General features: G+C 55.0%; 1 protein-coding gene and 1 non-coding gene across 7 annotated transcripts in view, besides 7 other annotated features; both read left to right on the plus strand.

The window, feature by feature from the left end:
* The window catches only part of TNFRSF1B (TNF receptor superfamily member 1B), a 42230-nt gene extending 14784 nt beyond the window's left edge, over positions 1-27446 (plus strand). Inside the window, exons 1-11 of one of the 6 annotated variants that reach the window (XM_047429424.1) lie at positions 2754-4716; positions 7022-7121; positions 9183-9311; positions 10000-10149; positions 10657-10750; positions 11089-11324; positions 12181-12258; positions 12810-12844; positions 20193-20397; positions 20733-20798; positions 24963-27446. In XM_047429424.1, coding sequence (XP_047285380.1) covers positions 7097-7121; positions 9183-9311; positions 10000-10149; positions 10657-10750; positions 11089-11324; positions 12181-12258; positions 12810-12844; positions 20193-20397; positions 20733-20798; positions 24963-25246 — 1302 coding nt within the window. In that variant the 5' untranslated portion in view covers positions 2754-4716; positions 7022-7096 and the 3' untranslated portion in view covers positions 25247-27446. Of the gene's footprint in view, positions 1-2753; positions 4717-5664; positions 6342-7021; positions 7122-9182; positions 9312-9999; positions 10150-10656; positions 10751-11088; positions 11325-12180; positions 12259-12809; positions 12845-20192; positions 20398-20732; positions 20799-24962 lie in introns of those variants that run through there. The other 5 variants (XM_047429423.1, XM_011542060.3, XM_047429422.1 and 2 more) reach the window with 5 other exon arrangements.
* Positions 7060-7597: an enhancer, noted in NCBI's record as "H3K4me1 hESC enhancer chr1:12248891-12249428 (GRCh37/hg19 assembly coordinates)". NCBI's record gives its function as "activates a minimal SCP1, AML or CMV promoter by ChIP-STARR-seq in primed H9 embryonic stem cells {active_cell/tissue: H9 hESC(primed)}" and the evidence as "EXISTENCE:reporter gene assay evidence [ECO:0000049][PMID:30033119]".
* On the plus strand, positions 9939-9999 carry MIR4632 (microRNA 4632). The gene has a single exon (NR_039775.2). It is a non-coding gene; the product is annotated as a microRNA 4632 (primary transcript).
* Positions 9944-10495: an enhancer, noted in NCBI's record as "H3K4me1 hESC enhancer chr1:12251775-12252326 (GRCh37/hg19 assembly coordinates)". NCBI's record gives its function as "activates a minimal SCP1, AML or CMV promoter by ChIP-STARR-seq in naive H9 embryonic stem cells {active_cell/tissue: H9 hESC(naive)}" and the evidence as "EXISTENCE:reporter gene assay evidence [ECO:0000049][PMID:30033119]".
* Positions 19782-20316: an enhancer, noted in NCBI's record as "H3K27ac-H3K4me1 hESC enhancer chr1:12261613-12262147 (GRCh37/hg19 assembly coordinates)". NCBI's record gives its function as "activates a minimal SCP1, AML or CMV promoter by ChIP-STARR-seq in primed H9 embryonic stem cells {active_cell/tissue: H9 hESC(primed)}" and the evidence as "EXISTENCE:reporter gene assay evidence [ECO:0000049][PMID:30033119]".
* Positions 20045-20243: a silencer, noted in NCBI's record as "fragment chr1:12261876-12262074 (GRCh37/hg19 assembly coordinates)". NCBI's record gives its function as "represses an EF-1alpha promoter that drives an FKBP-Casp9 reporter gene in an ReSE screen in HepG2 liver carcinoma cells {active_cell/tissue: HepG2}" and the evidence as "EXISTENCE:reporter gene assay evidence [ECO:0000049][PMID:32094911]".
* Positions 20235-20284: an enhancer, noted in NCBI's record as "active region_211". NCBI's record gives its function as "activates an Ori minimal core promoter by ATAC-STARR-seq in GM12878 lymphoblastoid cells {active_cell/tissue: GM12878}" and the evidence as "EXISTENCE:reporter gene assay evidence [ECO:0000049][PMID:35858748]".
* Positions 20317-20850: an enhancer, noted in NCBI's record as "H3K27ac-H3K4me1 hESC enhancer chr1:12262148-12262681 (GRCh37/hg19 assembly coordinates)". NCBI's record gives its function as "activates a minimal SCP1, AML or CMV promoter by ChIP-STARR-seq in primed H9 embryonic stem cells {active_cell/tissue: H9 hESC(primed)}" and the evidence as "EXISTENCE:reporter gene assay evidence [ECO:0000049][PMID:30033119]".
* Positions 25216-25716: an enhancer, noted in NCBI's record as "H3K4me1 hESC enhancer chr1:12267047-12267547 (GRCh37/hg19 assembly coordinates)". NCBI's record gives its function as "activates a minimal SCP1, AML or CMV promoter by ChIP-STARR-seq in naive and primed H9 embryonic stem cells {active_cell/tissue: H9 hESC(naive and primed)}" and the evidence as "EXISTENCE:reporter gene assay evidence [ECO:0000049][PMID:30033119]".

Genomic DNA, 27997 nt, shown 5'->3' on the forward strand with positions numbered 1-27997 from the left:
CAGAGGCCCAGGACCAGCCCAACTCTGCCCCACATCCCAGCCCCCACCTCCCAGCTCGTGCTGTTTCTCCACCTCTCATGTGGATGGGCCACACACCACCCAGCACCCCTGAGGTCTGGTGAGGGACTGAGCCTTCGACACCCATCCTTAAGAACCCAGGGCTGGTCCTTTTGCTTAGAGCATCAACCAGGCCCACACTCTCATTTTACAGGCAGAGAAACTGAGGCACAGAGAACCTGGTTACTGCCCACAGCAGAGGAGACACTTGAGTGAGGACACAGAGGATCTTTGGGGTAGGGGCGGGCCTTGGGGTTGAGACCCAGTCTTCCTGGCCAGGGAGGAAACACAGGACTGGAGGTGAGGAGGCCTCTTTGAGGCTAGTTTCTTCATCTGTAACTTGGGAATAACAATAGGACTGGCCTCAGGGGGACCAGGGGAGGATTCAGAGAGGCTATGATGCTGGGACAGCTCTTCGTGATGACTGGCATGAAGCAGGCTTCTAGTAGATGCTCTACTGCTGCTTTCGTTCTCACCCTCACCCACCCGCTCTGGGCCCACTGCCCTGACCTCCTGACCAAGCACTGAGTGTGCCAAGGGCATCTCCCTGTCTCCCCGGCCCCGCACCTTGTGTCACCCTTTTCCTTAGCTCTTACCACCACCTTGAATTCTCTATTGAACGTGCATGTGTCTCCCCAGCTAAGATGACAACTTCCCGGGGGCAGGGATTTGATTTGTTCAATGCTACTGTTTACCCAGCACCTACAACACTGGGTGCTCAGCACGTCTGTTGAATGAATGAATGAATGAATCACTGCTTTCACCTTTGCCCCTGACTTTCTCCATGGACCACGGACAAGTGACTTGATCTCCCTGAGCTGTGAAATGGGGCCATTCACACCAGCTTTTTAGGGTGGAACTAGGATTTTATACAGTGCCTGCCATCTGGCCTGGCACATAGTAGTTGCTTAGCAAATATCCCATTGTTTTCCTTCCTCCCCAGAGGGCCAAAGCCAAGACCTGGAGGAGCAACAGGGTGGGGGTCTAACCCCTGGGTGACAGAGACAGCTCCCATCTGGGATGGAGGCTGCATGGTGGGAGGAGCTGCTGAGGTTGGGCCATTCAGCTTTGGGGCCCTTGGAGTCCTGGGTCTGTGTGGAGGGGGAAGGGAAGCTCTCTGGGCCCCAAGAGAAGGGAGGCAGGATTGGGGGTGGCAAGGATTGCAGCTCTTCTGGGATAGCCTTGGGCACACTGCTTTGTCTCCCTGAGCACCTGCGAATGTCAGTGAGAAGACCAGACAGTGGGTCTAACACGCACAGTTGCCCCTGGGAGGTAGCAGGTGCTCGGTACCGATGAGCTACCGCTAACTGCAGGTGCTACCTGTCTTAGAGGAGGGAGCCCAATCTGGAGGAGGGGAAATGGGAGCTGTGGACCCAGATGGGAGGCGGCTCAGAGACTGTGGGTGGGCCCTGATGAGCTTCTTATCCATAGTCCTCTATCCGCTTGCCGCCATCCTGGCCCTGGCATGGCCCAAAGTCTCTGGGAGACGAGGGGAGGTGGCTTTGCCTTTTTCCATCTCTGTTATCTCATCTGTGAAATGGGCACAATCAGACCTGCCTCACCAATTGGAATATAGATTTAGGTGCAGTTTTCTTTTTTCTTTCCTTTTATCTATTCTCTCTCTCTCTCTCTCTCTCTCTCTATGTATATATGTATAGCTATCTATTGATATTTTCTATCATCCATCTATTTATCTTGTATCTACTTTCTATTATCTCTATCATCTATTTATCTAATCTATCATCTATCTAGCTATCTTTCTATTTTATCTATCTATCTATCTGTTTGTCTGTCTGTTTTATCTATCTAGCTATTTTATCTATTTTATCTATCTATCTATCTATCTATCTATCTATCTATCTATCTATCTATCTATCTATTCTATCTACCTATCTATCTATCTATCTATCTATCTATCTAGCTAGCTAGCTAGCTAGCTATCTATTCTATCTACCTACCTATCTATCTATCTAGCTATCTATCTATTCTATCTACCTATCTATCTATCTATCTATCTATCTACCTACCTACCTACCTACATATCTATCCATCCTCTCCGATTCCCTCACCACTGGGTCTCAGATTCCCTGCCTGTTAAATAAATGGTCAGTTAACCCTCAACAGTGATTTTCAATTTTTCACTTGAGGCCCCCATATTTTGGAAGATTGTAGTTTGCTGAACACGCTGACTGAATCAAGTACTATCCAACTTATTTCCTCATTTTAACATGTCAAAGATCCCCTGTGGGGTGAGTGGGGTGTGAATTGGAGCCTCCCCAATCCAAGGCACAGGAACTGGAAGCTTCTGTAGCCCTGCATTTCCTAGAGAATGCTTGCCATGTTTTGGGGACCTCCTGGGGGGCCCCTGTACTGACCAGAGGCCGGCTCCCAGGGCTGTGGTTTGGGCCCAGCCCCCTGCTCCTGGGGACTGCTGCTGTGGAGGGAGTGACCTTTTGTTCTGCTTTGCCAAGGGGCTTTCTGTTCCTCATTGTTTAGCCATGACAAGGCTGTGGATTTTTTTTTTTTTTTCTGTCCAAGAGAATAAACAGGCCTGAGATTGCTCAAGGGAGCCGACCCCCTCTGCCAGCTACTGGGGGCTGGAGGCTCACAGAGCCAGGGAGGAAGTCCTACCCCCTCTGCCGGCTACCGGGGGGGCTGGAGCCACACAGAGCCAGGGAGGAAGTCCAGGGACGGTCACTCACAGCAAAGCCTCAGACAAGAGAGGAACCTGGAGGGGAGGAGGTGGGAGGCCACCACTCAGCCGGCCTGGGGGCCATGGGAGTCCAGCTGCCTGCCGTTAGTGGCCAGGAGCCCTCGTCCATTGCGGCTCTTGAGAGCCCAAACTTGGCCACGGCAGGGCTCTTTCCCATCAGGCCCTTTGAGCCCTGATGGGAAACCCTTCCCCAGCCAGGGTGGGATTTCTTGCTGCCGCCTGGAGCCGCCCTGGCCCTGTGGTTCTCAGGCCCTGGAGGAGTGAGGGGCTCCCCTGGTTACCCCAAGGGCACTCGTGGGGATGAAGCCCGCGGGATGCAGGATTCCCACGAGACCTGTGCTGGCCACTGTGCGGGGTGGGGGGCTGCCAGGGAAGAGGTGCAGCCCCTGCCTGCCTCAGGGATGCGATCTGAGGGAAGAGGCAGCTGTGTCTGGGAGGCCGTTCGGTCGGAGGGGGATAGGCACAGCCCCTGCCCTTGGGGAAGCGCCCAGCAGCAGCCTTCAGGGAAGGCAGTTTGGGGGTTTGCCGAGGGCCAGGAAGACCCTCTGCCGCAGTTAGTATTCGATGGAATGGCTTGTGCAGAGGGAGCTGCAGAAGCTGCCATTTCTCTGGGTTAGGGGCTCCCACAGCCTTTGGATGCCGGGTCTCGGCCATGAGCCCCCTCCGCCACCCCTCCCCCAGGTCACCTTGCTCAATCCAGGAGGCCGGATGATCAGAGTGTGTTCTGCAAAGGAGCGTGAGAATCACTGGGGAGATTTCCTTTTTCTTTTTCTTTCTCTTTTTTTAATGGTACAGCTTCCTGGGCCCACCCCTGAGATTCTGCACTTGTTTGGGGAGTGGGTGTTGGCTTCATGACAGGCACCCCTGGGTGCTTTGGACACAGGCAGTGAGCTCCCCCCACACTGTGTGAACCCCTGAGAAGGCTTCTCCTTTTGTCTAGGGTGCCTGGGAGTCTGCTCCAGCAGCAAACCGGGGAGGGGAGGGGTACTGGGACCGAGTGTGTGTGGCAGCACCGTGTCCAGGCAAACTGAGGCTCCAGACGGGGGTTACTTCTTCAGACCCTGTTATGCAGCATGGTTCCCACTGCCCGTGCCCAGAATTCACCATAGCTGATGGGCCTGGGGTGGGCCTCCGGGGCAGGCCAGGGTGGAAAGTGCATCTGTGTTTGAGCTTTGCGGCCCTGGCGCTGGAGTTAGATCCCTACAGGAAAGGACATTGTAACCCAGCCCGTGGTTGAGACTAGCAGCTGCTGAGCACCTACGCCCTGCTAGGCTGTGGGGCAACAGCAAAGGGTAACCCCCAGCCTGCAGCCTCAGGGGGGCTTCCCATCTAGCGAGGGGCCCAGGGAGGCCATGAGGAGAGCCATGAGGGAGGAAGGTGGGGACTCTGGGCCTGAGTGACTCCTTCAGGGTGGGGTGCGGGCAGGGAGCCTTCAGGAGGGAGGGTACTGCCTGAGCAGGGCTCTTAAGGGACACGTGGAATTTGTTACAGGAAGCACCAGGCCATTCCAGGCATAGAAATCAGCTGGGGTGCAAAGGCCTGGGGGTCAGAAGAGTGGCAGATTGCTCCATGGCAGGAAGCCCCAGCTCCTCTGGGTCGTTCCCGCTGAGGGATTCCAGCTGTTGGCACCGAGGGGTGCAGCCAGGGCAGGGTGGTGCTGCCTGCCAGGCTGAGGTGGGAGACAGCTGGGTTTCTAGCCCTGCTTGTCACTCGCTATAGGTGCAGCCAAACGCTCAGCAGGCCCAAACTCTGGGCAGTCCTGACTCCCAGGCAGTGCTGTGAGGAAGGGGAGGAGGAGGCACACTGAACCCACCTGCTACGTTGGCTGGTGGAAATTTGGCCAGGTCTGCACTGGCCCAGCGGTGCTGGGTGTCGTGACTGGTGTCTGCTCTGACTGGCTTGCTGACAGCTGAAGTCCAGGATAGGTCCATGGCCACGTTGTGCTGGTTTGTTAAATATTTTTAGTATCTCCCCTGCTCCTATATGTTAGGTACTGGAGTCCAGAGAGGTTAAGGCACTTGCCTAAGGCCACACAGCCGCTAAGTGGTGGAGTGAGGATTTGAAACCAGTTCTTTCTGACTCCCTGTATCCTTATCTATGGAGAGGCCCCATGACTCGTTCACTAAAGGTTATGGATCTCGATCTTGTACTGGCCACATGACTGCAGCTGGCAGTACAGTGGGGAGTGCGCCAGCCCTGGCTCTGACCTCCTAGAACTGCCCTTTGTTCATTTCCAGGTGACGCATCTGTGGGGGCCCCTGAAGGACTTGGGGTGTGTGTGTACACCCTCTTTGCTTGTACAGATGTGTTCACACCCATGTTTGCCTACATGTGAATGTCTCCATTCTGAGCTTGCTCTCAGCCTGGTAGAGGTGGCTAATTAATGCTTGTCCCTGAAAGCCCGGACTGCCAACCCCAGTCTTTCAGGAGAGAGGGCAGGACTCAGGGGCTTGCTCCCGGGGGTCCTGGGAAGGCACAATGGTGACAGTGCTGCAGCTCTGCACTCCTGGAGGGTCACTCAGAGACCCGAGAGAGGAGGGCTCTGCGTCTGCTCCTCTGTCCAGGGCTGTAGCTTCTCTGGGTGCCTTTGCTTTTCTCTTTTCTCCCCTCTTTTTTTTTTTTTTTCGAGATGGAGTTTTGCTCTGTCAATTAGGCTGGAAGTGCAGTGGCATGATCTCAGCTCACTGCAACCTCCTCCTCCCAGGTTCAGGGGATTCTCCTGCCTCAGCCTCCAGAGTAGCTGGGATTACAGGCACACGCCACTATGCCGGGATAATTTTGTATTTTTAGTAGAGACAGGGTTTTGCCTTGTTGGCCAGGCTGGTCTCGAACTCTTGACCTCAAGTGATCCACCTGCTTCGGCCTCCCAAAGTGCTGGGATTACAGGTGTGAGCCACCACACCTGGCCCTCTCTCTCTTTTCATTCATCACATTGTTCATCTCTTCCCGGAGGCATCCAGCACAGTCTTTGAGACTGTGAGCTGTGAAGTCAGACAGGACCCAGGTCCAAACCCTTCTCTGTCACTTACCAGGTCTGGGACCTTGGGCAGGTGACCTGCCCTCTCAGGCCTCGGTTTCCTGTTCTATAAAATGGCTGCAGTAGGGAAACCGTCTCCATCTTCATTGGGTGGTTGGGAAGTCTTGCTGAGACCACACACCTGTCTCAGGTAGGGTCTTCCAGAAGCAGAGCCTGAGGCAGGGATCTTTGTGAAAGTGATTTGCTAGGGAGGGCTCCCAGGAGAAGCAGGCAGGGCAGGTCAGGGGAGGGGGCTTAGCAGGGACGTTGTTCACCAGCTTCAGCCCAACACCACGGGGGTGGCTCTGGACCATGAATTGTACCAGGGTGGGTCCCACCTTGAGGCTGTGGAGCATTCATTATCAGCCAACACCCACAGCAGCTGGGGGAGCGGTGCCCTGCTGGCAGCAGGGGTCTGAGTGGGGTGCAACAGCACCCACCAATTCGAGCAGCAGAAACGCTTAGAACAGTGCCTGGTACCTAGGCAGTGCTTCAAAAATGGCAACGATTGTCATGGTCATAACCAACATTCAGCTGATGAGTGCCGGCTCTACGGTGGGTCCCATGTGAGAGATTGAGGGTCTAGAGATGACAAGGCTGCCACCTCTGCTGTCTGCATCACATGAGTGTGTGTGTACACATGTGTGTGCATACATACCCACAGGGGGTGGAAGGACAAGCAAGTAACCATTCCAGAACAATGAGATGACTGTTAGAGGGGTCATAACCCACGTTTAGAGAGAGCCGAGAGGAGGAGGAGGAGGAGCTTGAATTAGCCTTGGGTAGTCAGGGAGGGCTTCCCAGAGGTGGCAGCACTCATCTTGAAAGACAAAGGGATGTTTCAGGTGCAGGAGGGAAGGAGAGGTATCTTCCTTCCTCAGCAGAGGGCAGCTTTGTGCTGAGAACCCCCGTTCTCTGTGACCAAGGCCACTGTCTTCTGGATATCTGTCCCATGCAGTGTTAGGGGTCACCCAGCACTGGAGAAGGCCAGCAGAGTCAGTGCTTCTGCCTGCAGACATGACTAGGGTACACTGAGGTGGGGAGGCAGGGGAGGTAAAAGAAGGCACGAGCTCTCCTTCCTGTACCCTGCTCCAGGGGGAGAAACCTCCCCAGCCATCATCAGTGCAGACTGGCAGGGGGAGGGCCAAACATTTGCAGGGCGGGGACCTGGGCATCAGGCATGGCAGAACCCAGGGGCGGCCCTGTTGATGGCAGTCTTCCCTTCTTCCTTCCAGGTGGCATTTACACCCTACGCCCCGGAGCCCGGGAGCACATGCCGGCTCAGAGAATACTATGACCAGACAGCTCAGATGTGCTGCAGCAAATGCTCGCCGGGTGAGGGCAGCCACGGGGGCACTCGGGGCCCATGCCCTGGAGGAGCGTGTGTGTACAGGGGCTGGGGCGCAAGAGCATAGCCCTTGATTCTTACTGAACTCCTAGTTCTATGCACTGGCCCATGCTCCCTGCTGCTTCTGGGCCTGTGAACATGCTGTTCCCTCTTCCTGGCACACTTCCCAACTCCCTTTCCCTGATTAACTCCAACTTGCCCTTTAGACCTCAGCTGAAGATGTCCCCTCTTCCAGGAAGGCTGCCTGCCCCATACTGCCCAGCCGGTGGAGGAGGGGGAGGAGGAGCCTAAATTAGCTCCTGGGGGAGTCAGGGAGGGCTGCCTGGAGGAGGCAGCACTCAGCTTGAAAGACAAGTGCTGCCTCCTTTGAGCTCTCACTGGCCTCTGATGTTCCCATGGAAGCTCTTTCCTTGCTGTGGGATTATAGCCCGGTCCTGCTTCCTGTTGCCTCCACTGTGTGCTCCTCTAGGGCAGAGATTGTGGCTTGTTTTCTGCTGAATCCCCAGCACGTGGCGCAATGCCATGTAGGTGCTCAGTGCATATTTGACTGACTCTGTGAATGCTTACCCATTTCACAGATGGTAGACCTGAGGCCCAGCCACAGTTGGTGGAGCTAGGTAGCCTGACTCCTGGTGCCCTCCATCTATTCATTTGTGTCTGTATTCATTCATGTCATGATTATAAGGTATCTGCTGTGTGTTCTAAGTGCTGGGAATACACAGAGAGCAGGGCAGACAAAACCCTTGCCCTCGTGGAGTCTGCATTTTAACGGTGGATGCAGACAGATACATTAGGAGATGTGTGGTCCTGTCTATCTGTAAGTGCTGTAGAAAGACAAGGTCAGGTAAGGCGGGGGAGACAGAACGGGACATACTGTTTTACACAGGGTGGTCTGGGAAGGTCTCTCTGAGGAGGTGACATTTGGGCAGAGCCCTGCAGGAGGTGAGGGAGCAGGTCATGCATGTATACAGGGAACAGTGTGCCAGGAGGAAGCAACAGCATGTGCGAAGGCCTTGAAGTCGGAGCCTGTTTGGTGAGTTGGAGGAACAGCAGGGCCAGCATGTGTGGCCCAGGATGAGCGAAGGCGAGTACGGTAGGGGAGGAGGAGGAAGGAGTGAGCAGGGACCATGGTAAGGAGTTTAGATTTTATTCTGTCTGGGAGCCAATGGAGGGCTTTGAGCCGTTACCTTGAGATGTAGGTGGGCATATGAGTACCTGTCACCGTCCCTAGCCATTTTAAGACATCCTAGGGAAAGTGACTCTCTTCTTTCTTTTATTAACTGGAAGGGTCTCTTTAAGAAGTTACTAGAGAGGCTGAGGTGGGCGGACCACCGGAGGCCAGGAGTTTGAGACCAGCCTGGCCAACATGGTGGAACCCGTCTCTACTAAGAATACAAAAAAATAGCTGGGCATAATGGCAGGCACCTGTAATCCCAGCTACTTGGGAGGCTGAGGCAGGAGAATTGCTTGAGCCTGAGAGGCAGAGGTTGCAGTGAGCCGAGATTGTGCCACTGCACTCTAGCCTGGGCCACAGAGTGAGATTCTGTCTCAAAAAAAAAAAAAAAAAAAAAAGCAGCTACTGAGTCAACTTTTTTTTAAGGTTTCCGTTGGTGTTCTCTGTCCCTGGAATGCCTGCTTTCCAGGCCCATGCCCTTGTCCTTGATAGGATACCAGGGACTACATTCTTACTACCTGTTCCCCCTATCATTCATGCCCCTAGCTGGAGAATATTAGCCATCTATCAAGAAGGAAGAAACTGGCAAGCTAGTTCTTACTAAAGTGTGATTGACTGATAATAGGGCTCCAGTGGTGGAGGTTCAAGCATCTGGAAAGAGCAGAGAGGAATCTATTTTTGAGCAGAAGGGGTTCAGAAATGACGTGATAGCTGGTACAATACTAGATGGGAGATGATTCTGAGGAATTGGAACTCCACAGAATAGCCTTCCCAGCTGGGCTTTAGAACTCTGGACTTTGTGGGGACAGTGGATGAGCCCAGGGTCCTGGCAGAAGGCTCGCCCAGCTGAGACCTCTGGCCCTTGTTTCCTCAGGCCAACATGCAAAAGTCTTCTGTACCAAGACCTCGGACACCGTGTGTGACTCCTGTGAGGACAGCACATACACCCAGCTCTGGAACTGGGTTCCCGAGTGCTTGAGCTGTGGCTCCCGCTGTAGCTCTGGTGAGTAGGTTCAGAGAAAAAGGGGGCCCTTACACCCCTGCCTCCAACTTCCCCCGGCAACTCCAGCCTCTTTGGCTTCCAGCTGTCTGGAGTTACCCCAGGCTGGTTGTTGGAAGTGGCACAGGTGCAGCTGTTTACCCCTACCACTGGCATTTTCCTCCTCTGTCTCACCAAAGCCTCTTCACAGCCCCACGGGGCAGGCGGTGGGAGAACTGTGCCCACGTGAGGGTTGAGGAGGTGGTGCGTGGGAGAGTGGTGCGCATGCTCGTGCTGCGAGGAGCAGGACTGCGGGGAGGAGCGAAACTGCTGGGAAGAGCGGGACTGCGGGGAAGAGCGGGACTTCGGGGAGGAGCGGCACTGCGGGGAGGAGCAGGACTGCAGGGAGGAGCGGGACTGTGGGGAGGAGCGGGACTTCGGGGAGGAGCGGGACTGCGGGGGACGAGCGCGACTGCGGGGGACGAGCAGGACTGCGGAGAGTAGCGGGACTGCGGAGAGTAGCGGGACTGCGGAGAGTAGCAGGACTGCCGGTCCTGCCCCTGGACTCTGGCCGGTGTTGTGTGTGCCCCATGCTGAGGCGGTCCGCCAGCCTCCTGGAGATCCGCTGTCTGAGAGTGCTGGGCTGTCTGGGAGGGCAGCGTGGGTGTGGCGGAGGCAGGCGTGACCGTTTGCCGCCCTCTCGCTGCTCTAGACCAGGTGGAAACTCAAGCCTGCACTCGGGAACAGAACCGCATCTGCACCTGCAGGCCCGGCTGGTACTGCGCGCTGAGCAAGCAGGAGGGGTGCCGGCTGTGCGCGCCGCTGCGCAAGTGCCGCCCGGGCTTCGGCGTGGCCAGACCAGGTACGGGGTGGGGCTCAGGTCCTTGGGGACGCCCATGGGCCTCTCCTTTGTAGACATCCTTGCAGTGTCACGGGCATCAACCCATTAATTAGTCCAGCAGGGAGCACTGTTAGTGGTGGCCAGGTGCCTGCTACCCATCCGTCTGTCCACCTGTCCACCGTTCATTCTTCCTGCCAGCACTCCCGATTAGGCACCTCTTATGTACTGGAACCAGGAGACCCAGAGATGGATCAGACCAAGCCCTAAGCTAGGAAAGTTATGTGATGCTGCAAGATGAACTCACATAACTCTACAGCCCAATCCCGTGCATGTGTGTACAGGAATCTGTGTGTGTGCATGTGTGTACAGGCATCTGTGTGTGTGTGTGTGTGTGTGTGTGTGTGTAAGGGGTGGAGGTGCAGACAGAGCTCCTTGGGCCCCTCAGACCTCTCCTAGGGCTCTAGTGCCAAGGCCCAGCTGTCCCGCAGAGTGTCTGAGTGGTTGACAAGTTCGGATTGTTCCCTGAAGGAACTGAAACATCAGACGTGGTGTGCAAGCCCTGTGCCCCGGGGACGTTCTCCAACACGACTTCATCCACGGATATTTGCAGGCCCCACCAGATGTGAGTAGCTGAGTCCTTTGGTTCTGGAGGAGCAGGGAGGGGCTGTCCCTGGGTGACTGTGGGTCCAGGACACAGAGCAGCTCACCAACCACCATTGTCCAGACTGCTTTATCTGAGGGTGGCTCCCAGGATAAATGGCATGGTGGGCAGGACCTTGCCCTGGAAGGCAGGACTGGGTGGGTGCATGGGGAGGTGGGGGAGGGCTAGGAGGGGGTGGTCCTCAGAGAGGGCACACATCGTCACTCTCCTATCCTGCCTGCTGGGGCCCGTGAATGAGCCCAGCCACCCCAGCCACTCTGTCCCCTGCTGCCTCCTGACCAAGCCTCCTCCTCCTCCAGCTGTAACGTGGTGGCCATCCCTGGGAATGCAAGCATGGATGCAGTCTGCACGTCCACGTCCCCCACCCGGAGTATGGCCCCAGGGGCAGTACACTTACCCCAGCCAGTGTCCACACGATCCCAACACACGCAGCCAACTCCAGAACCCAGCACTGCTCCAAGCACCTCCTTCCTGCTCCCAATGGGCCCCAGCCCCCCAGCTGAAGGGAGCACTGGCGACTTCGCTCTTCCAGTTGGTAAGTCGCAAGAAGTCTCATTCATTCACTCCTTCTGTCTGCCTGTCTTTCTGTCTCTCTTTCTTCCTCTCCCATGGTTTTACTGAGAGCCCACGGGGGGCTGGACCCTGTGCCCTGTCCTGGGATACAGGTGGCAGTGAGACTGCTTTCTCCCCACACCTGGTGCTATCATTCAAAATCCCTAAGTGCGTGGGCTGGATGCAGTGGCTCAAGCCTGTAATCCCAGTGCTTTGGGAGGCCAAGGAGGCTGGAGGATTGCTTGAGGCTAAGAGTTTGAGGTCAGTCTGGGTAACACAGCGAGACTCCATCTCTATAAAAAAATTAAAAAATTATTTGGGTGGGATGGTGCCTATTGTCCCAGCTACTCAGGAGGCTGAGGTGGGAGGATCACATGAGCCCAGGAATTTGAGGCTGCATTGAGCTCTGATCGTGCCACTGCACTCCAGCCTGGGCAATGAGTGAGGTCCTATCTCAAAAACAAAACAAAACCAAACAAAACCCCTGGATAGGGGAGAGGTGGGGTCAGCAATTCACCTGAATATGCAGATGGTCTCCTTGCTGCTGTTTCTGATGAGCCCATTAGGCTAAGAAGACAGCGGGCTGGGCCAGGTCACCTCCAGGGGCTTCCATTCTGGGGTAGAACTGCATCAGGCCAGAGGTCTCAAACTAGTGGCCCTTAGGCTGAATGAGGCACACAGACATGATTGCTTTGTAATTGGATTTGAGAATCTCCGGCCTAGACTCGCCCCTCATTTGCAATGACCCGAAGCACCTTGGGTCCCTGGCTTGCCTGGCTGGCCCCTGGTACATTTGAGTTTGTTTTCTGTAGCTGTCTGAGCTTCTCTTTTCTTTCTAGGACTGATTGTGGGTGTGACAGCCTTGGGTCTACTAATAATAGGAGTGGTGAACTGTGTCATCATGACCCAGGTGAAAAGTAAGAGTCCATCCTTCCTTCCTTCATCCACTTGTTCAGGAAGCTTTTGTGGGGTGCCTCCTGTGAGTCCAGCACTGGGCACAGCCTTAGGGGTCAGACAGAGCTGGATATGGGGGTCCTTGTTCTGTAGGAGCTTAAGGCCTGGGGTGAAGGTACCTCTGCTAACTTAATTACTAAAAGGCAAGAGGTGATCAGGGTTTTCTAAAGGGTAGGAGGAGTTCAGGATTCCTATCCAGGAAGCCTGGGGGATTCGGGCTTCCTGCAGCAGGTGGTCTCTGAGCTGGGTAAGATCTTGATGGGTGGAGTCTGTGCAGGGAAGGACACGCATCCTCAGTGGAGGCGCGGATGGTATAGATGGGGGACTGGAGAATGGTTGGGATGGTGGCAGGTGGAGTTGGGTGGGGGCTTCTGTGGACCTTGTCTGGTAGGCGATTGGTCCCCACAGGGCTGGGCCTCTCTGCTGGTTCTATGGGGCCCCATACTGCCCTCCTACTTAGGACAGATGTGCCTGAGGAAGTCAATCTCTTACTTGTCCCCTCTCCTCTTTATAGAGAAGCCCTTGTGCCTGCAGAGAGAAGCCAAGGTGGTGAGTGTCTCCACTGCCCTCTCCCCCTCTTCCCCTGGTCTCCTTCCCGGCGTGCTGGGCTGTCACAGAGGAAGCAGTGAATTCTGTCATTGGTCTGTCCAGTGTCAGGAGGTGTGCAGAGCCCTGGGAGGTGGAGGAAAGGCCGGGGAGTCAGGCAGCCCTCCATGGGCTAAGAGAGGCTGTGAGTGTGAAATGCTCCGGCAGAGAGCAGATGCCTTCGTGGCGTTCGTGGCAGGCACGTGGTCGTGGACCCACAGCGCAACCTTGGGCAGATGTGAAATTGCTCTATGGCTACTTCCTTACCATGAGATGGGGGTTGTGTCTGCTCGATCCAGCCTGCAGGGTGGTGCCATTCGGTCAGCTGACAATGATGTTTCTCCTTGCCTCCATTGTGTTTACAGAGCACTTTCTCAGAGAGCAGTGGTTTTCAAACTGAATTCTGGGATAGCCCAGTGTCCCACAGAGGGCCCTTGGGCGTGGGGGAAGTGGTCATCTCTCAGGTTTGAGGTAGAGGCTGTGGGGCTGGGCCCTGGGTCCTCCCAAAGCAACTCACCTTTGATCTGTTTTATAAAGTAGGGCCTGCGAAGGCTTTTTGTTAGAGACAGACCAACAGTGTGTCATATCATAGTATTTCATTCATTCTCCATCAGGAAGGCATTTGGCTGCAAGTAACCCCAAACCTACAGGTGACTTTAGAAAAAATGGCTTTATTTTTCTTGCATTGTAAGAAGTCAAGGGGTTGGTGTCTGCTGGAATGGCCTCCACTATCCCCTTGCATGGTGCCAGCAGGACCCCAGGCTCTGTCATCTTTAGTGTGTTGACTTTTGTTCTCTTGTTTGTGGCCTCATGTCATAAGATGGTAATCATCACTTCATATGTCACCTCTAAGTTTGAGGTGGGAAGAAGGGGCAGGTGGCCAGGTCAGCCATGGTGCCCTTATCAGTAAATCGGATGCCTTCCCAGAAGCCCTGGGTAGACTTCTTTCATCTCACTGACCAGACAGTGTCACATGACCACCCCTAGCTGCGAGGGAAGCTGGGAAAGAGGGTGTTTTGCTTTTCCAGCCTCTATGGAGGAGGAGGACAAGGGAGGGGGGTTGGAAGTGGGTATGGGGTGAGCCAGAACATACGTCTGTCACAGCCTTGCACCTGGTAGGCAGGGCAGGTTTTTTACCCAATTTGACAGATGAGAAAACAGAGTCTGATGAGTTTTCTCGACCTCAGGGGCAGGTAGAGAAAGAACTTCTCAACCTCATGGATATTTGAGACAACATCTTACTTAAGGGAGGCCAAGGTGGGAGGATTGCTTGAGTCTAGGAGTTCAAGACCAGCCTGGGAAACACAGTGAGACCCTATCCCTAAACAAAATTAAATAAAATAAATATTTTTAAAAAGGATCTTGGCTGGGCACGGTGGCTCACTCCTGTAATCCCAGCACTTTGGAAGGCCGAGGTAGATGGATCACTTGAGGTCAGGAGTTCAAGACTAGTCTGGCCATCATGGTAAAACCCCATCTCTACTAAAAACAGAAAAATTAGCCAGGCGTGGTGGCACGTGCCTGTAGTCTCAGCTACTCGGGAGGCTGAGGCAGGAGAGTCGCTTGAACCCGGGCAGTGGAGGTTGCAATGAGCTGAGATCACACCACTGCTCTCCAGCCTGGGCAATAGAGCAAGACTCCATCTCAAAAGAAAAAATAAAATAAAATAAATAAATAAAATATCTTACTTAGTTGTGGGGGCTGTCCCGTGCTATTCAGCAGCATCTTTGGTCTTTATTTACTTACATGCCAGCCTCATTCCCACTCCAGTGGTGACAATCAAAAATTCTCCAGACATCACCAAGTGTCCCCTGGAGGGCAAAATCACCCCTAGTGGAGAACCACTGCTCGAGGGAACAGCTCAGCCCTGGGCAGCCCAATACCCGAAGCTTACACCAGGTGTTTGGAATCAGATAGATTGATTTCATCCCCTGATTTTGGTGACAAGAAAAGAGATGCAGGGAGGAAAACTGAGTTGCTCAAGGTCGCACCGCAGTGTGTCTCTGGACTCCCATCTCAGTGCTCTTTGCCCTGCCCTACAGTATTTCAGTGGGGAGGAAATTTTCTCATTCCCCGGCGAGCGAGTTTCACTGCTCCCTTTCTCCAGCTTCAATTCAGTGACACTGACGGTTGCCGCCTGGTGGCGTGCGTAGAGCAGGTGTCTCCCCCAAGCTCTTCCGCAGCAGCCCAGCTGTCACCTTCCCTTTCCCCACCAAGCGTTTCCCAATCCTCTGTGCACTGAAGATGTCCTGGGTGTGGCCTAGCAGCCTCTGCTTCCCTTTTCCATTTTTTTTTTCTTTCTTTCTTTTTTTTTTTTTGAGACAGCTATGTCGCCCAGGCTGCAGTGCAGTGGCGCCCTCTTGGCTCACTGCAGCCTCCGCCTCCCGGGTTCGAGTGGTCATCCCACCTCAGCCTCCCAAGTAGATGGGACTATGGGCATGCGCCACCATGCCTGGCTAATTTTTATATTTTTAGTAGAGACGGGGTTTTGCCATGTTGGCCAGGCTGGTCTCAAACCCCTGACCTCAAGTGATCTGCCCACCTCGGTCTCCCAAAGTACTGGGATGAGAGGCATAAGCCACCACGCCTGGCCCCTTTCCTTTCACTGTTGCTCTCAGTGTTCACTGAATGTGAGTGACTCAAGTATCTGTTGAGTGCCCCAGTGGTGTGTCTAGTGCAGAAAAAAACCCCCAAACCCTGATTTGTGGTGTTTGCTAATTTCTGTGGTATAAACACTCACACTGTAGCCAGTTTCCAACTCCCAAGACCTTCCTGAATATGGAGTTGGGAGGAAATCTGCACAGGCCTGAGCTTATCCCAGCACAGCCCTGGCTGAGCCCTGCCAGGCTCTTTGTGACTGAGTCCCCACGCATCCCTGTGGGGCAGGGAGCATCATCACCCCCATTTTACAGAGGAGGAAACTGAGACTCTGGGAGGTTCCATTTTTCCTGTAGGATTAGATCATTAGGTGAGTGGCATAGCCCAGGTTTGAATCAGGTTTATGCCTGTGTCCCACGCTACTCCTCAACCAGCAGCTACTCCTGATAAGAGGCCAGTGGAGAGTCCTCTTGAGCTGGGCTGCTGGGCTTAGAGTGTGGACTCAGCACCCACCTGCTCCTCCTGCCACAGAAAGAACGTCCAGGGCATGGGAGACAGTGGCGTTCCTTTGTTTAGAAAACACCAACATGTGGCCGGGCGCCATGGCTCACGCCTGTAATCCCAGCACTTTGGGAGGCCGAGGGGGGCGGATCACGAGGTCAGGAGATCGAGACCATCCTGGCTAACACAGTGAAACCCCATCTCTACTAAAAATAAAAAAAATTAGCCGGGCGTGGTGGCGGGCGCCCGTAGTCCCAGCTACTCCGGAGGCTGAGGCAGAATAGCGTGAACCCGGGAGGTGGAGCTTGCAGTGTACTGAGATCGCACCACTGCACTCCAGCCTGGGCGATAGAGCGAGACTCCATCTCAAAAAAAAAAAAAAAAAAAACCAATATGTGAGCTTACCCACAATCACCCCCATGGACACGGACACACTCATGCACGGACCCACGTCTGATAACAGGTGCGAACATTTATCGGGTGTTGAACGGATGCCAGGCACTGTGCCCAGCGTTCTTTATTCTCACAGCCATGCTGCCACACGCAGGCAGTATGATTCTTGTCCCCCATTATATGGCCCAAGAATCATGGGCCCAGAGAAGTTAGTAACTTTCCCAGTGTGGCACAGCTAATGATCACGGCCTGGGACACGAACCTAGGAGTGTCTCTCCTCGCCACCCCAGCGCACACACTCACTACGTCACTCACAGATATGCACACATGCCCCCAACATAGACACACGTGTGCACGCTTCACACCCTCACGCCTGTAGACACAGGTGTGTGAGCCTTGTGAACACACAAACAGACGGACACAGCAGGAACCTGGAGGACCTGGCCCGTGGCTCTGCTGGGTCTCTGCTTCTGCCCAGCAGGGCTGGGCCAGGAGGGGCCGGGAGCTGAGGGTGCTGGCTGGCTGGCTGGCTGGCTGGAATTCTGTTTTTTTTTTTTTTTTTGAGAAAGAGTCTTGCTTTGTCGCCCAGGCTGGAGTGCAGTGGCACAATCTTGGCTCACTGCAAGCTCCGCCTCCCGGGTTCACACCATTCTCCTGCCTCAGCCTCCCAAGTAGCTGGGACTACAGGCACCCACCAGCTCGCCCAGCTAATTTTTTGTATTTTTAGTAGAGACGGGGTTTCACCTTGTTAGCCAGGATGGTCTCAATCTCCTGACCTCGTGATTCGGTGACCACCTCGGCCTCCCAAAGTGCTGGGATTACAGGTGTGAGCCACTGCGCCCGGCCCTGGGATCCTGTGTTTTGAATGAGGCTCCTCAGTACTCGGCTCTACTGGGGTCCCAGCCCAAGGAATAGGACTCAGCCTGCTTCTGTGCCACCTGGGGCTGCTTGAACTTTGCGACTTGTGGCTTGGGAGGAGGGAGGTGGCCGTGACCTTTGGGGGTTTTTGTTCTGCCTGGCTGTAGCCACCAGCAGAGGGGGTGGGGCACAGGCCAGAAAAACCCCTTTTGTGGGGTTGTGAGGAGTGACAATTGGCTGCTTCTCCTCCCCTTCCAGGCTCAGAGCAGGGCTGGGGGGCAGTTGTGGGCAGTGACCAGGGTCAGACCACCTGGGCGGAGGTTCAGCATGAACTTGCAATGCCCTCCATCTCTCCAAAACTGGGGGACCCAGCCCAGGGAGGGTGTGGGGGTTCCTGGGGAAGCTGGTCTAGGCTTCTGCTCCTGCCACGGACCAGCTGTGTGATGCTGGGCACAGGATGCACTTTCTCTGGGCCTCCGTGGCCTCTTGGGGATGGCTTGCACGAGATCCCTCCAGTCCTGAGTGAGAGGCTGTGGCCTTGGGGAATTAAGGGTGCAGGTGGCGCTCAGGTGTCCGAGAAGCCATGGGAGCCGGGGGCTGCAGGGATTGGACAGAGAGGACCCTGGTACTCGCATCTGTTCTCAGACCACATCTGGAATTGTAGCTCCCTCTGGAGGGAGGCAGGAGGTCTCAGCCTTTCTTGGGGGGCGGTGGCACCTGCGCTGCTCGCTCCACCCCTGCTCTCACCTCCCGCTGCAGTGCTGGCGAGCCCCATCAGCCCTTCACTCATCTCTACCCTCCTTCTTTCTGCCTGGGACACTTGTTTTCATCCTGGGCAGGCCAGGGGCCAGGGCAGCTGTTGGGAATGTGGCCTGTGCCATCTCCTTTTTTGCTGGGATCAGAAAACAATCGCTTAGAATTCCAAGGCAAGGGTGTGAGCGCCTGGCCAGCCAGTGGGAACAGACAACAGCCTGGGAGAGGAATTTCCAGCCTCTCTTCAGTGTGCGTGTCTGGAAATGGGGACCTTGCCTTGAGCCTCCAGAGTTGAAACCCCAGACACCCAGGAAAGGCCCTTTGGGATTTAGCCCAGCCACAGTATGTCCTAACCGTGACCTTGGGCAAGTAACTCAATCTCTCCGTGCCTCAGTTTCCACAAAGCAAGGATAACACTGGGTTGTTGGAAGAATCAATATAGATATTGTCTGGAGGGATGTAGGTACAGTGCATGGCATTGGGTGGCACTCAAATGTCAGCTAATAATATTATTATTATTCTACGGGAAGAAGACATCAGGGGAAGTTGCAGAGCAGCCTGTGGGCGGACTCTGGAACAAGAGGCTGAGGCAGTGCAGCAGAGGGTCTCAGACGTGAGCGCTCTCTGCCCCGGAATGATTGACTGAGCGCAAAGGTCTGCACGCTTTCTCTGTAAAGGGCCAGATGGTAGGAATTTCAGGCTTTGTGGACTGTATGGTCTCAGTGACAGCTACTCAAACCTGCCTCTGTAGCAAGAAAGCAGCTACATGCATAGACAGCACACACCCAACTGAGAGTGGTGTGTTCCTATCTAATTGTGCTACTGGACACCCAAACTTGAGCTTCCCACCATTCCATGTGCCGCAAATTATTCTTTTTTTTTGAGATGGAGTTTCACTCTTGTTGCCCAGCCTGGAGTGCAGTGGCTCGATCTCGCCTCACCACAACCTCTGCCTCCCAGGTTCAAGCGATTCTCCTGCCTCAGCCTCCTGAGTAGCTGGGATTACAGGCATGAGCCACCACGCCAGCTAATTTTGTATTTTTAGTAGAGACGGGGTTTTGCCATGTTGGTCAGGCTGGTCCCCAACTCCCTTCCTCAGGTGATCCGCCTGCCTCAGCCTCCCAAAGTGTTGGGATTACAGGCATGAGCCACCAAGCCTGGCCACAAATTATTCTTAAACATTTTTTTTTCAACCATTTAAAACATGAAAACCAGTGGGGTGTGGTGGTGCACGCCTGGTATCCCAGCACTTTGGGAGGCCAGGGTAGGAGGATGGCTTGAGCCCAGGAGTACAAGACCAGCCTGGGTAACATAGCACAACCCTGTCTCTACAAACAATCGACAACAAAAAAATTAGCCAGGAGCAGTGACACGTGCCTGTGGTCTCAGCTACTCAGGAGGTTGAGGCAGGAGGATCACTTGAGCCTGGAAAATCGAGGGCTATAGTCAGCTATGATTGTGCCACTCCACTCCTGCCTGAGCAACAGGGTGAGACCCTGTCTCAAAAAAAAAAAAAAAAAAAAAAAGTGAAAACCATTCTTAGTGGCAGGCTGTACTGGGCCTCTGGGCAATCATTTGCCTAGTTCTGATTTAACAAACTCTTGTATGGAGTTTACTATGTAATAGGCATTGTTTTAAGCACTTTACAAATATTCAGCCATCTAATCTTCACAACAACCCTATGAGGTAGGCTATTATTCTCCCTTTATAGAGTAAAAAAAAAAAAAAAGGCACAGAGAGGTTAAGTAACTTGTCCAAGGTCACACAGCAAGTGAGTGGTAGAGTCATGATTTGCACTTGTGTGGCCTGGGTTTAGAGTCCACACTCTTGGTTGCTAGGCTGGGCCATGTCTCCCTGTGCAGATGGGGTGAAGGAAAGCTGCTTTCCTTCTACTCCCTTATGCAAAATAAGGATGAAAATCCTGCCCCACCTCTAAGACTATTTGGTGAACAGGGCCAGGTATTCTCTGCCCTCATAGGACACTCTAGTAGAGCAGCTGGGTGCTAATAACAGAAACACAGAAACCACGGAGAATCACACCTCCCAAAAAGTGCCGTGTGTGGAAAGAACGTGCAAGGGTGGGCAGAAACGTCACGTAAACTGAGAAGTGCTGATGGCAGGAGGTGTGGATGGCAGTGGGAAGGAAGAGGGGAAGAAAGAGCTGGCTGGTGGGCTGACTGCTCTCCCCTACCACCCCCTGCCCATCCAGCCTCACTTGCCTGCCGATAAGGCCCGGGGTACACAGGGCCCCGAGCAGCAGCACCTGCTGATCACAGCGCCGAGCTCCAGCAGCAGCTCCCTGGAGAGCTCGGCCAGTGCGTTGGACAGAAGGGCGCCCACTCGGAACCAGCCACAGGCACCAGGCGTGGAGGCCAGTGGGGCCGGGGAGGCCCGGGCCAGCACCGGGAGCTCAGGTAAGAGGTGGGAGCACACCTGGCTTCTTCCCAAGCCTCCTTGGTCTTTCTCACCTGGTTTCTGTCTTAGCCATCTCCTCCTGAGCCTCCCCGCAGGGTGGGACGAGGCCTGAGCCACAGGGAACTTCCTTCGGTTCGCTGAACCTAAGTTCCCTCCCGCCTTTGCCCATGCTGGGCCTATCACCTCAAAATCCTCCCTTCTGTGGGACAACCCCAGCTTGTCCAAGTCCCTGGTATCTGGGGGAGGAGTTTTCCTGAAACCTTCTCCCTGCTACCACCCCCAGCTGGCCTGGCTGCTCCTCCGGGCTCACCATGCCCTGGCCTCCCTTTCACAGGACTGTCAGACTGCATGTACAGACATTGTCTTCTCCTGTCTCCCACGCCAGGCTGTGGGACACCTGGTGAGCCTGGATCATCTCATTCATCCCTGTATCTGCAGGCCCAACACGGCCCAGCTACTGATAATTAATCATAACAATCGCTTCTACTTATGGAAGGCTACGGAACAGCAGGCACTGTACTGGGCACTTTACATGCATAAAACTGACCTGCATGTCAATGCTAAGAGATAGTTCCTGTTGTTATCCCATTTTACAGATGAGGAAACTGAGCCCCAGAGAGGTTAAACAGCTTCTTCAAGGGCACATGGCTAGTAAACAGAAGAGCCAGACTCACCCCTAGGCTGTCGGGCTCCAGAGCCCTGGGATTGGAAGATGAATGAAGAAATGGTGGCTCCAGGGCTCCACTCACTGCAGTTTGTTGCTGGGTCTCTTTAGGTCTGAGGCACTGGGACTGTGGGGATTGTGTCCCATTTATGCAGGCTGCATTGTGCCCTGGACCTGGTCTATGACAGATGTCACTCCTGGTTGGCATCTCTAGGGCCCACACTGGAGGGGCCCCTGTACAGGGTCTGCTGGCCTGTGCCTCTCTCCCTCTTACCTGGCAGTGCCAGCCAGTGAGAATTCAGGGAATGACCATGAACTTGGGTCAGTCTGAGATCCTTGCCTGGCCACTCTGGTGCCATAAGAATTTGGGTGGGATGCTTAACCCTGCCAAGCCTTGGTTTTTTCACCTAGAGGTGAGCTATAGCGCCTCCTTGCCAGGGCTGGTGAGAGATGGGTGACATTGTGCCCAGCTGGGCACCAGACCAGGGCCAGGCTCCCTCTGGGCCGCCTCCAGGTGGGGACTGATGGCTGCAGCCCCCACCACGCAGCCCTCCTCCAGCTCACTCACCCCCAGCTGCTCCCCAGCTCACTGCGCCCCTGCCTCTTGCCTGCACTCATGCCACCCCTGCCTGCCACACCTGTTCCTACCTGCCCCCAACTGCCCACAGGAGCTGACGTGGCCATTTCTGTCTGCCCCATCATAGCCCCCAGCCTCCTCGGTGGGAGGTCTCATCAGTGCCCCTCACTCCATCCTGAGAACTCCCTATGGGAGGGCCTGGGCCAGTGCCTGGAAGAGATCAGGGGCCCTACACACTGTTGAATGAATGAATGAATGAGTGCGCTCCAATTATAAACTCTTAGTCTTTGCCCAGTTCTTGGATTCGTCTGATTTTTTTTTTTTAAATGGGGTCTCGCTCGTCGCCTAGGCTGGAGTGCAGTGGCGCAGTCTTGGCTGACTTATCTGCTCACCGCAGCCTCCGCCTCCCAGGTTCAAGTGATCCTCCCACCTCAGCTTCCCGAGTAGGCGGGATTACAGGCATGTGCCATCACGCCTGGCTAACTTTTGTACTTTTAGTAGAGATGGAGTTTCACCATGTTGGCCAGACTGGTCTCGAAATCCTGACCTCAGGTGATCCATCTGCCTCGGCCTCCCGAAGGGCTGGGATTACAGGCGTGAGCCAACATGCGCAGCCCATCTTTCTGATTTCTTAGCTACACCTGGTGTGGCTCCCTCCTTGGGCCAGGGTGGAGCCCTGACCATGTCTGCCCTCCCCTCTCCCCTCTGCCCCTTCTGCTCTGTGCTCCTTCTCCCGAGTCCCCCAGCCCGTGTCCCTGGCCTCTGTCTTCTCTTTCTCTCCCTCCCACCCCTAACACCTCCCTCCACTGTGGGAACCTGTAAACCCCAGGGTTGTGCCCCTTCATGGTCCCCCATCCACCCCCGCAATGTCTCATGCTCGATATACAAAGGCCATGGTGACTTTGGGTGACATTTGGGTGCTGTGGAGGCTCAGGGTGGAAATTTCCTTCCGGCCTTGTGATTTCAACCCTCCTCCCCCACCACATGCTTGGGGCTGTTTTGAGCACAGCAGGTTGCCAGCTCCATCCACCTCCCGGCTACCCTATCCGAGTAGTTGGAGTTAGGGAGAACCAGGCTGGGGTGAGGGCACTCAGCAGGCCCCTGCAGCAACAGCAGCAGCAACTCTCATTTTCTGAGGGGGCTACTTACTGTATGCCAGTCCCTTCATATTCATCTCAGCAAACCCACCGTCCAGTGCCTCCCCAACCAGTTAGAAAACTCAGTTGCCCACAGGGGCTGGGCAGGAAGGTGAGGCAAACCTTGGGCTGTCCTTGGCCGGATCTCCTGCATCTGGCTCCCAAGGGAAGCCATAAATCCAGATTTTTAAATGTAAACGCCTGAATTTTAAATGTTGGTAATCAATTCACTTAAAAACATCACCACCACCACCACCACCACCACCAACAAAAAAACCCGTAGACTTGTCCCTGTTACAGGCACTAGGAACACAGCAGGGAACAATCAAAAAGTCCCTGGTCTGGCCAGGCAAGGTGGCTCATGCCTGTAATCTCAGTACTTCAGGAGGCCAAGGCAGGAGGATCACTTGAGCCCAGGAGTTCGAGACTAGCCTGGGCAACATAGCAAGACCCCCGTCTCTACTAAAAAAATAAAAAAAAAAGTCCCTACCCTCCTGGGTTCAGAGTCTGGTTGGGGACCCCAGGAGCTGGGGGCTCTGGAGATCAGGAGATCACAGAAATGGGGAGGGACCCAGAGAGTGGTGGATAGGATGGGAAGTAAATGTCTCTAGAGAGGGAGGCCAGGGGGTGGAGGGCGCTTCGTGGAGGAGGTGGCCTTTGAGCTAAGGCCTGAGCACTAGAGAAGAGCTCTCTAGGCTGAGGGAGCGGCCTGTGCAAAGGCCCAGGGGACCTGAAGGGCTCAAGGGGCTGTAGCAGGGGGTGGGGAATGTGGCTGGAAGGAACCCCATCAAGGTCTTGGAGCGGCAGGAGAGGGGGTGGGAGAAGGCAGGCTCCAGATCAGACAGGGCCTGGTAGGCTGTAGCAAGGACTGTGGGTTTTTGAGCCCCCAAGGAAGTGATCTGCCAGGTTCAAGGGCCAGCTCTGGCTGCTGATGGGAAACAGATTTCAGAGGGGTGGGGTTGAAGCCAGGACAGATGGAGGCTGTTCACACCCATCCAGATGGGAGTGAGGGGAGGCTTCCATAGCCCACCATGCAGCAGCAGGGCAGGGTGACCCTTGCAGAAGTCATCTTTTGTTTTTGTTTGTTTTTGAGATGGAGTTTGGCTCTTTCGCCCAGGCTGGAGTGAAGTGACGTGATTTCGGCTCACTGCAACCTCCGTAGCCTGGGTTCAAGCTATTCTCCTGCCTCAGCCTCCCGAGTAGCTGGGATTATAGGCACCTGCCACCATACCCGGCTAATTTTTTTTTTTGTATTTTGAGTAGAGACAGAGTTTCACCATGTTGGCCAGGCTGGTCTCAAACTCCTGACCTCAGGCGATCCACCTGCCTTGGCCTCCCAAAGTGCTGGGATTACAGGCGTGAGCCACCCTGCCTGGTCCAGAAGTCATCTTTTGAAGGGAGACAAGGCAGGAATGATGGATGGGTGTGTGATATGAGAGAAAGATGGGTCCGAGGCTCTGGGCCCAAGCAGCTGGGTGGATGGCAGCAATGGGAACTGTGATGAGCAGGAGAGGTTTTGGATGCGAGATGGGAGTAGAATCAAGAGTTAAGTTGGAGGCTGAGCACGGTGGCTCACACCTGTAATCTCAGCGCTTTGCGAGGCTGAGGTAGGCAGATTCTTTGAGGTCAGGTGTTCGAGACCAACCCAGGCAACCTGGCGAAACCCTGTCTCTACAAAAAATTAGCAGGGTGCGGTGGCCTGTAGTCCCAGCTATTCAGGAGGCTGATGTGGGAGGATCACTTGAGGCCGGGAGGCAGAGGTCACAGTGAGTTGAGGGAGTGACACAGCACTCTTTTGAGACCCTGTCTCAAAAAAAAAAAAAAAAAAGACAGAAGAGACAGGGTCTCACTATGTTGCCCAGTCTGGTCTTGAACTCCTGGGCTCAAGCGATCCTACAAACTTGGCCTCCCAAGTAGACATCTGTTTTATATAATTGGCTCCTCCCATCTCTGGGGTGATTGGGGCTGGGTAGGTAGTGATGCTATTCTTATTCGGCAGAGGGGAAAATGAGGCACATGCAGGTTAAGTGACTTGCTCAAGGTCACACAGCAGAGCTGGGCTAGAATCTTGGTCTCGGCTCCTGGCCCAGTGCTCTTTCCCATGTGTCTGAATCTGCATCTTGGGCAGGGGTCCCTGGGCCCCACTCCTGGACCCCCGGACTGACCCCCACCCCATCTTGTGCTTAGCAGATTCTTCCCCTGGTGGCCATGGGACCCAGGTCAATGTCACCTGCATCGTGAACGTCTGTAGCAGCTCTGACCACAGCTCACAGTGCTCCTCCCAAGCCAGCTCCACAATGGGAGACACAGATTCCAGCCCCTCGGAGTCCCCGAAGGACGAGCAGGTCCCCTTCTCCAAGGAGGAATGTGCCTTTCGGTCACAGCTGGAGACGCCAGAGACCCTGCTGGGGAGCACCGAAGAGAAGCCCCTGCCCCTTGGAGTGCCTGATGCTGGGATGAAGCCCAGTTAACCAGGCCGGTGTGGGCTGTGTCGTAGCCAAGGTGGGCTGAGCCCTGGCAGGATGACCCTGCGAAGGGGCCCTGGTCCTTCCAGGCCCCCACCACTAGGACTCTGAGGCTCTTTCTGGGCCAAGTTCCTCTAGTGCCCTCCACAGCCGCAGCCTCCCTCTGACCTGCAGGCCAAGAGCAGAGGCAGCGAGTTGTGGAAAGCCTCTGCTGCCATGGCGTGTCCCTCTCGGAAGGCTGGCTGGGCATGGACGTTCGGGGCATGCTGGGGCAAGTCCCTGACTCTCTGTGACCTGCCCCGCCCAGCTGCACCTGCCAGCCTGGCTTCTGGAGCCCTTGGGTTTTTTGTTTGTTTGTTTGTTTGTTTGTTTGTTTCTCCCCCTGGGCTCTGCCCCAGCTCTGGCTTCCAGAAAACCCCAGCATCCTTTTCTGCAGAGGGGCTTTCTGGAGAGGAGGGATGCTGCCTGAGTCACCCATGAAGACAGGACAGTGCTTCAGCCTGAGGCTGAGACTGCGGGATGGTCCTGGGGCTCTGTGCAGGGAGGAGGTGGCAGCCCTGTAGGGAACGGGGTCCTTCAAGTTAGCTCAGGAGGCTTGGAAAGCATCACCTCAGGCCAGGTGCAGTGGCTCACGCCTATGATCCCAGCACTTTGGGAGGCTGAGGCGGGTGGATCACCTGAGGTTAGGAGTTCGAGACCAGCCTGGCCAACATGGTAAAACCCCATCTCTACTAAAAATACAGAAATTAGCCGGGCGTGGTGGCGGGCACCTATAGTCCCAGCTACTCAGAAGCCTGAGGCTGGGAAATCGTTTGAACCCGGGAAGCGGAGGTTGCAGGGAGCCGAGATCACGCCACTGCACTCCAGCCTGGGCGACAGAGCGAGAGTCTGTCTCAAAAGAAAAAAAAAAGCACCGCCTCCAAATGCCAACTTGTCCTTTTGTACCATGGTGTGAAAGTCAGATGCCCAGAGGGCCCAGGCAGGCCACCATATTCAGTGCTGTGGCCTGGGCAAGATAACGCACTTCTAACTAGAAATCTGCCAATTTTTTAAAAAAGTAAGTACCACTCAGGCCAACAAGCCAACGACAAAGCCAAACTCTGCCAGCCACATCCAACCCCCCACCTGCCATTTGCACCCTCCGCCTTCACTCCGGTGTGCCTGCAGCCCCGCGCCTCCTTCCTTGCTGTCCTAGGCCACACCATCTCCTTTCAGGGAATTTCAGGAACTAGAGATGACTGAGTCCTCGTAGCCATCTCTCTACTCCTACCTCAGCCTAGACCCTCCTCCTCCCCCAGAGGGGTGGGTTCCTCTTCCCCACTCCCCACCTTCAATTCCTGGGCCCCAAACGGGCTGCCCTGCCACTTTGGTACATGGCCAGTGTGATCCCAAGTGCCAGTCTTGTGTCTGCGTCTGTGTTGCGTGTCGTGGGTGTGTGTAGCCAAGGTCGGTAAGTTGAATGGCCTGCCTTGAAGCCACTGAAGCTGGGATTCCTCCCCATTAGAGTCAGCCTTCCCCCTCCCAGGGCCAGGGCCCTGCAGAGGGGAAACCAGTGTAGCCTTGCCCGGATTCTGGGAGGAAGCAGGTTGAGGGGCTCCTGGAAAGGCTCAGTCTCAGGAGCATGGGGATAAAGGAGAAGGCATGAAATTGTCTAGCAGAGCAGGGGCAGGGTGATAAATTGTTGATAAATTCCACTGGACTTGAGCTTGGCAGCTGAACTATTGGAGGGTGGGAGAGCCCAGCCATTACCATGGAGACAAGAAGGGTTTTCCACCCTGGAATCAAGATGTCAGACTGGCTGGCTGCAGTGACGTGCACCTGTACTCAGGAGGCTGAGGGGAGGATCACTGGAGCCCAGGAGTTTGAGGCTGCAGCGAGCTATGATCGCGCCACTACACTCCAGCCTGAGCAACAGAGTGAGACCCTGTCTCTTAAAGAAAAAAAAAGTCAGACTGCTGGGACTGGCCAGGTTTCTGCCCACATTGGACCCACATGAGGACATGATGGAGCGCACCTGCCCCCTGGTGGACAGTCCTGGGAGAACCTCAGGCTTCCTTGGCATCACAGGGCAGAGCCGGGAAGCGATGAATTTGGAGACTCTGTGGGGCCTTGGTTCCCTTGTGTGTGTGTGTTGATCCCAAGACAATGAAAGTTTGCACTGTATGCTGGACGGCATTCCTGCTTATCAATAAACCTGTTTGTTTTACACGTCGACCCCTGGCTCTGCCTGGGGTCTGGGCTTGGGTTTGTCCATGCTCCTACTTGTCTGCCACCCCTGTGTAAGGGGAGATGGCGTCACGGTCCCTGGAGTCTGGCTGGCCCCTGTTGTGACTGGACCACAGAGGGACCCCTGTTACAGCCGCCCCCTCAAGCCTGTGAACCATAAGAGAACTTCCTGCTCGGGACCACACAGCTGGCTGGGTTCCAAGTGTGCCCTGGTCTCATGCCTTCATCCTCCAGGTCTCCTGGGCCTGCTCTCAGGACCGGGATGGGGTCTCTGCAGATCCCTAGCAGCCTAGGCAGCCAGGCTCTGCCCTCCTGGGGACCCCACTCGGGGAGAGTGGTTGCCCCTGGGATACTCAGACCAGTACAGGGTTTTGGGGGCCCAGAGGACATCCCTGGGCCCAGGTAGGAGGTTAGAACAGGGTTCTGGAGATGACCTCTGACCTCCTCCTGAGGGATGAGCAGCAGTTTTCCAGAACAAAGGATTGCAGGGAACTGTCAGGCAAAAGGAGTTCTGAGTTTAAAGGCCTTAGC

This window comes from Homo sapiens, chromosome 1 (assembly GCF_000001405.40).
Source record: "Homo sapiens chromosome 1, GRCh38.p14 Primary Assembly".
Taxonomy (NCBI): domain Eukaryota; kingdom Metazoa; phylum Chordata; class Mammalia; order Primates; family Hominidae; genus Homo; species Homo sapiens.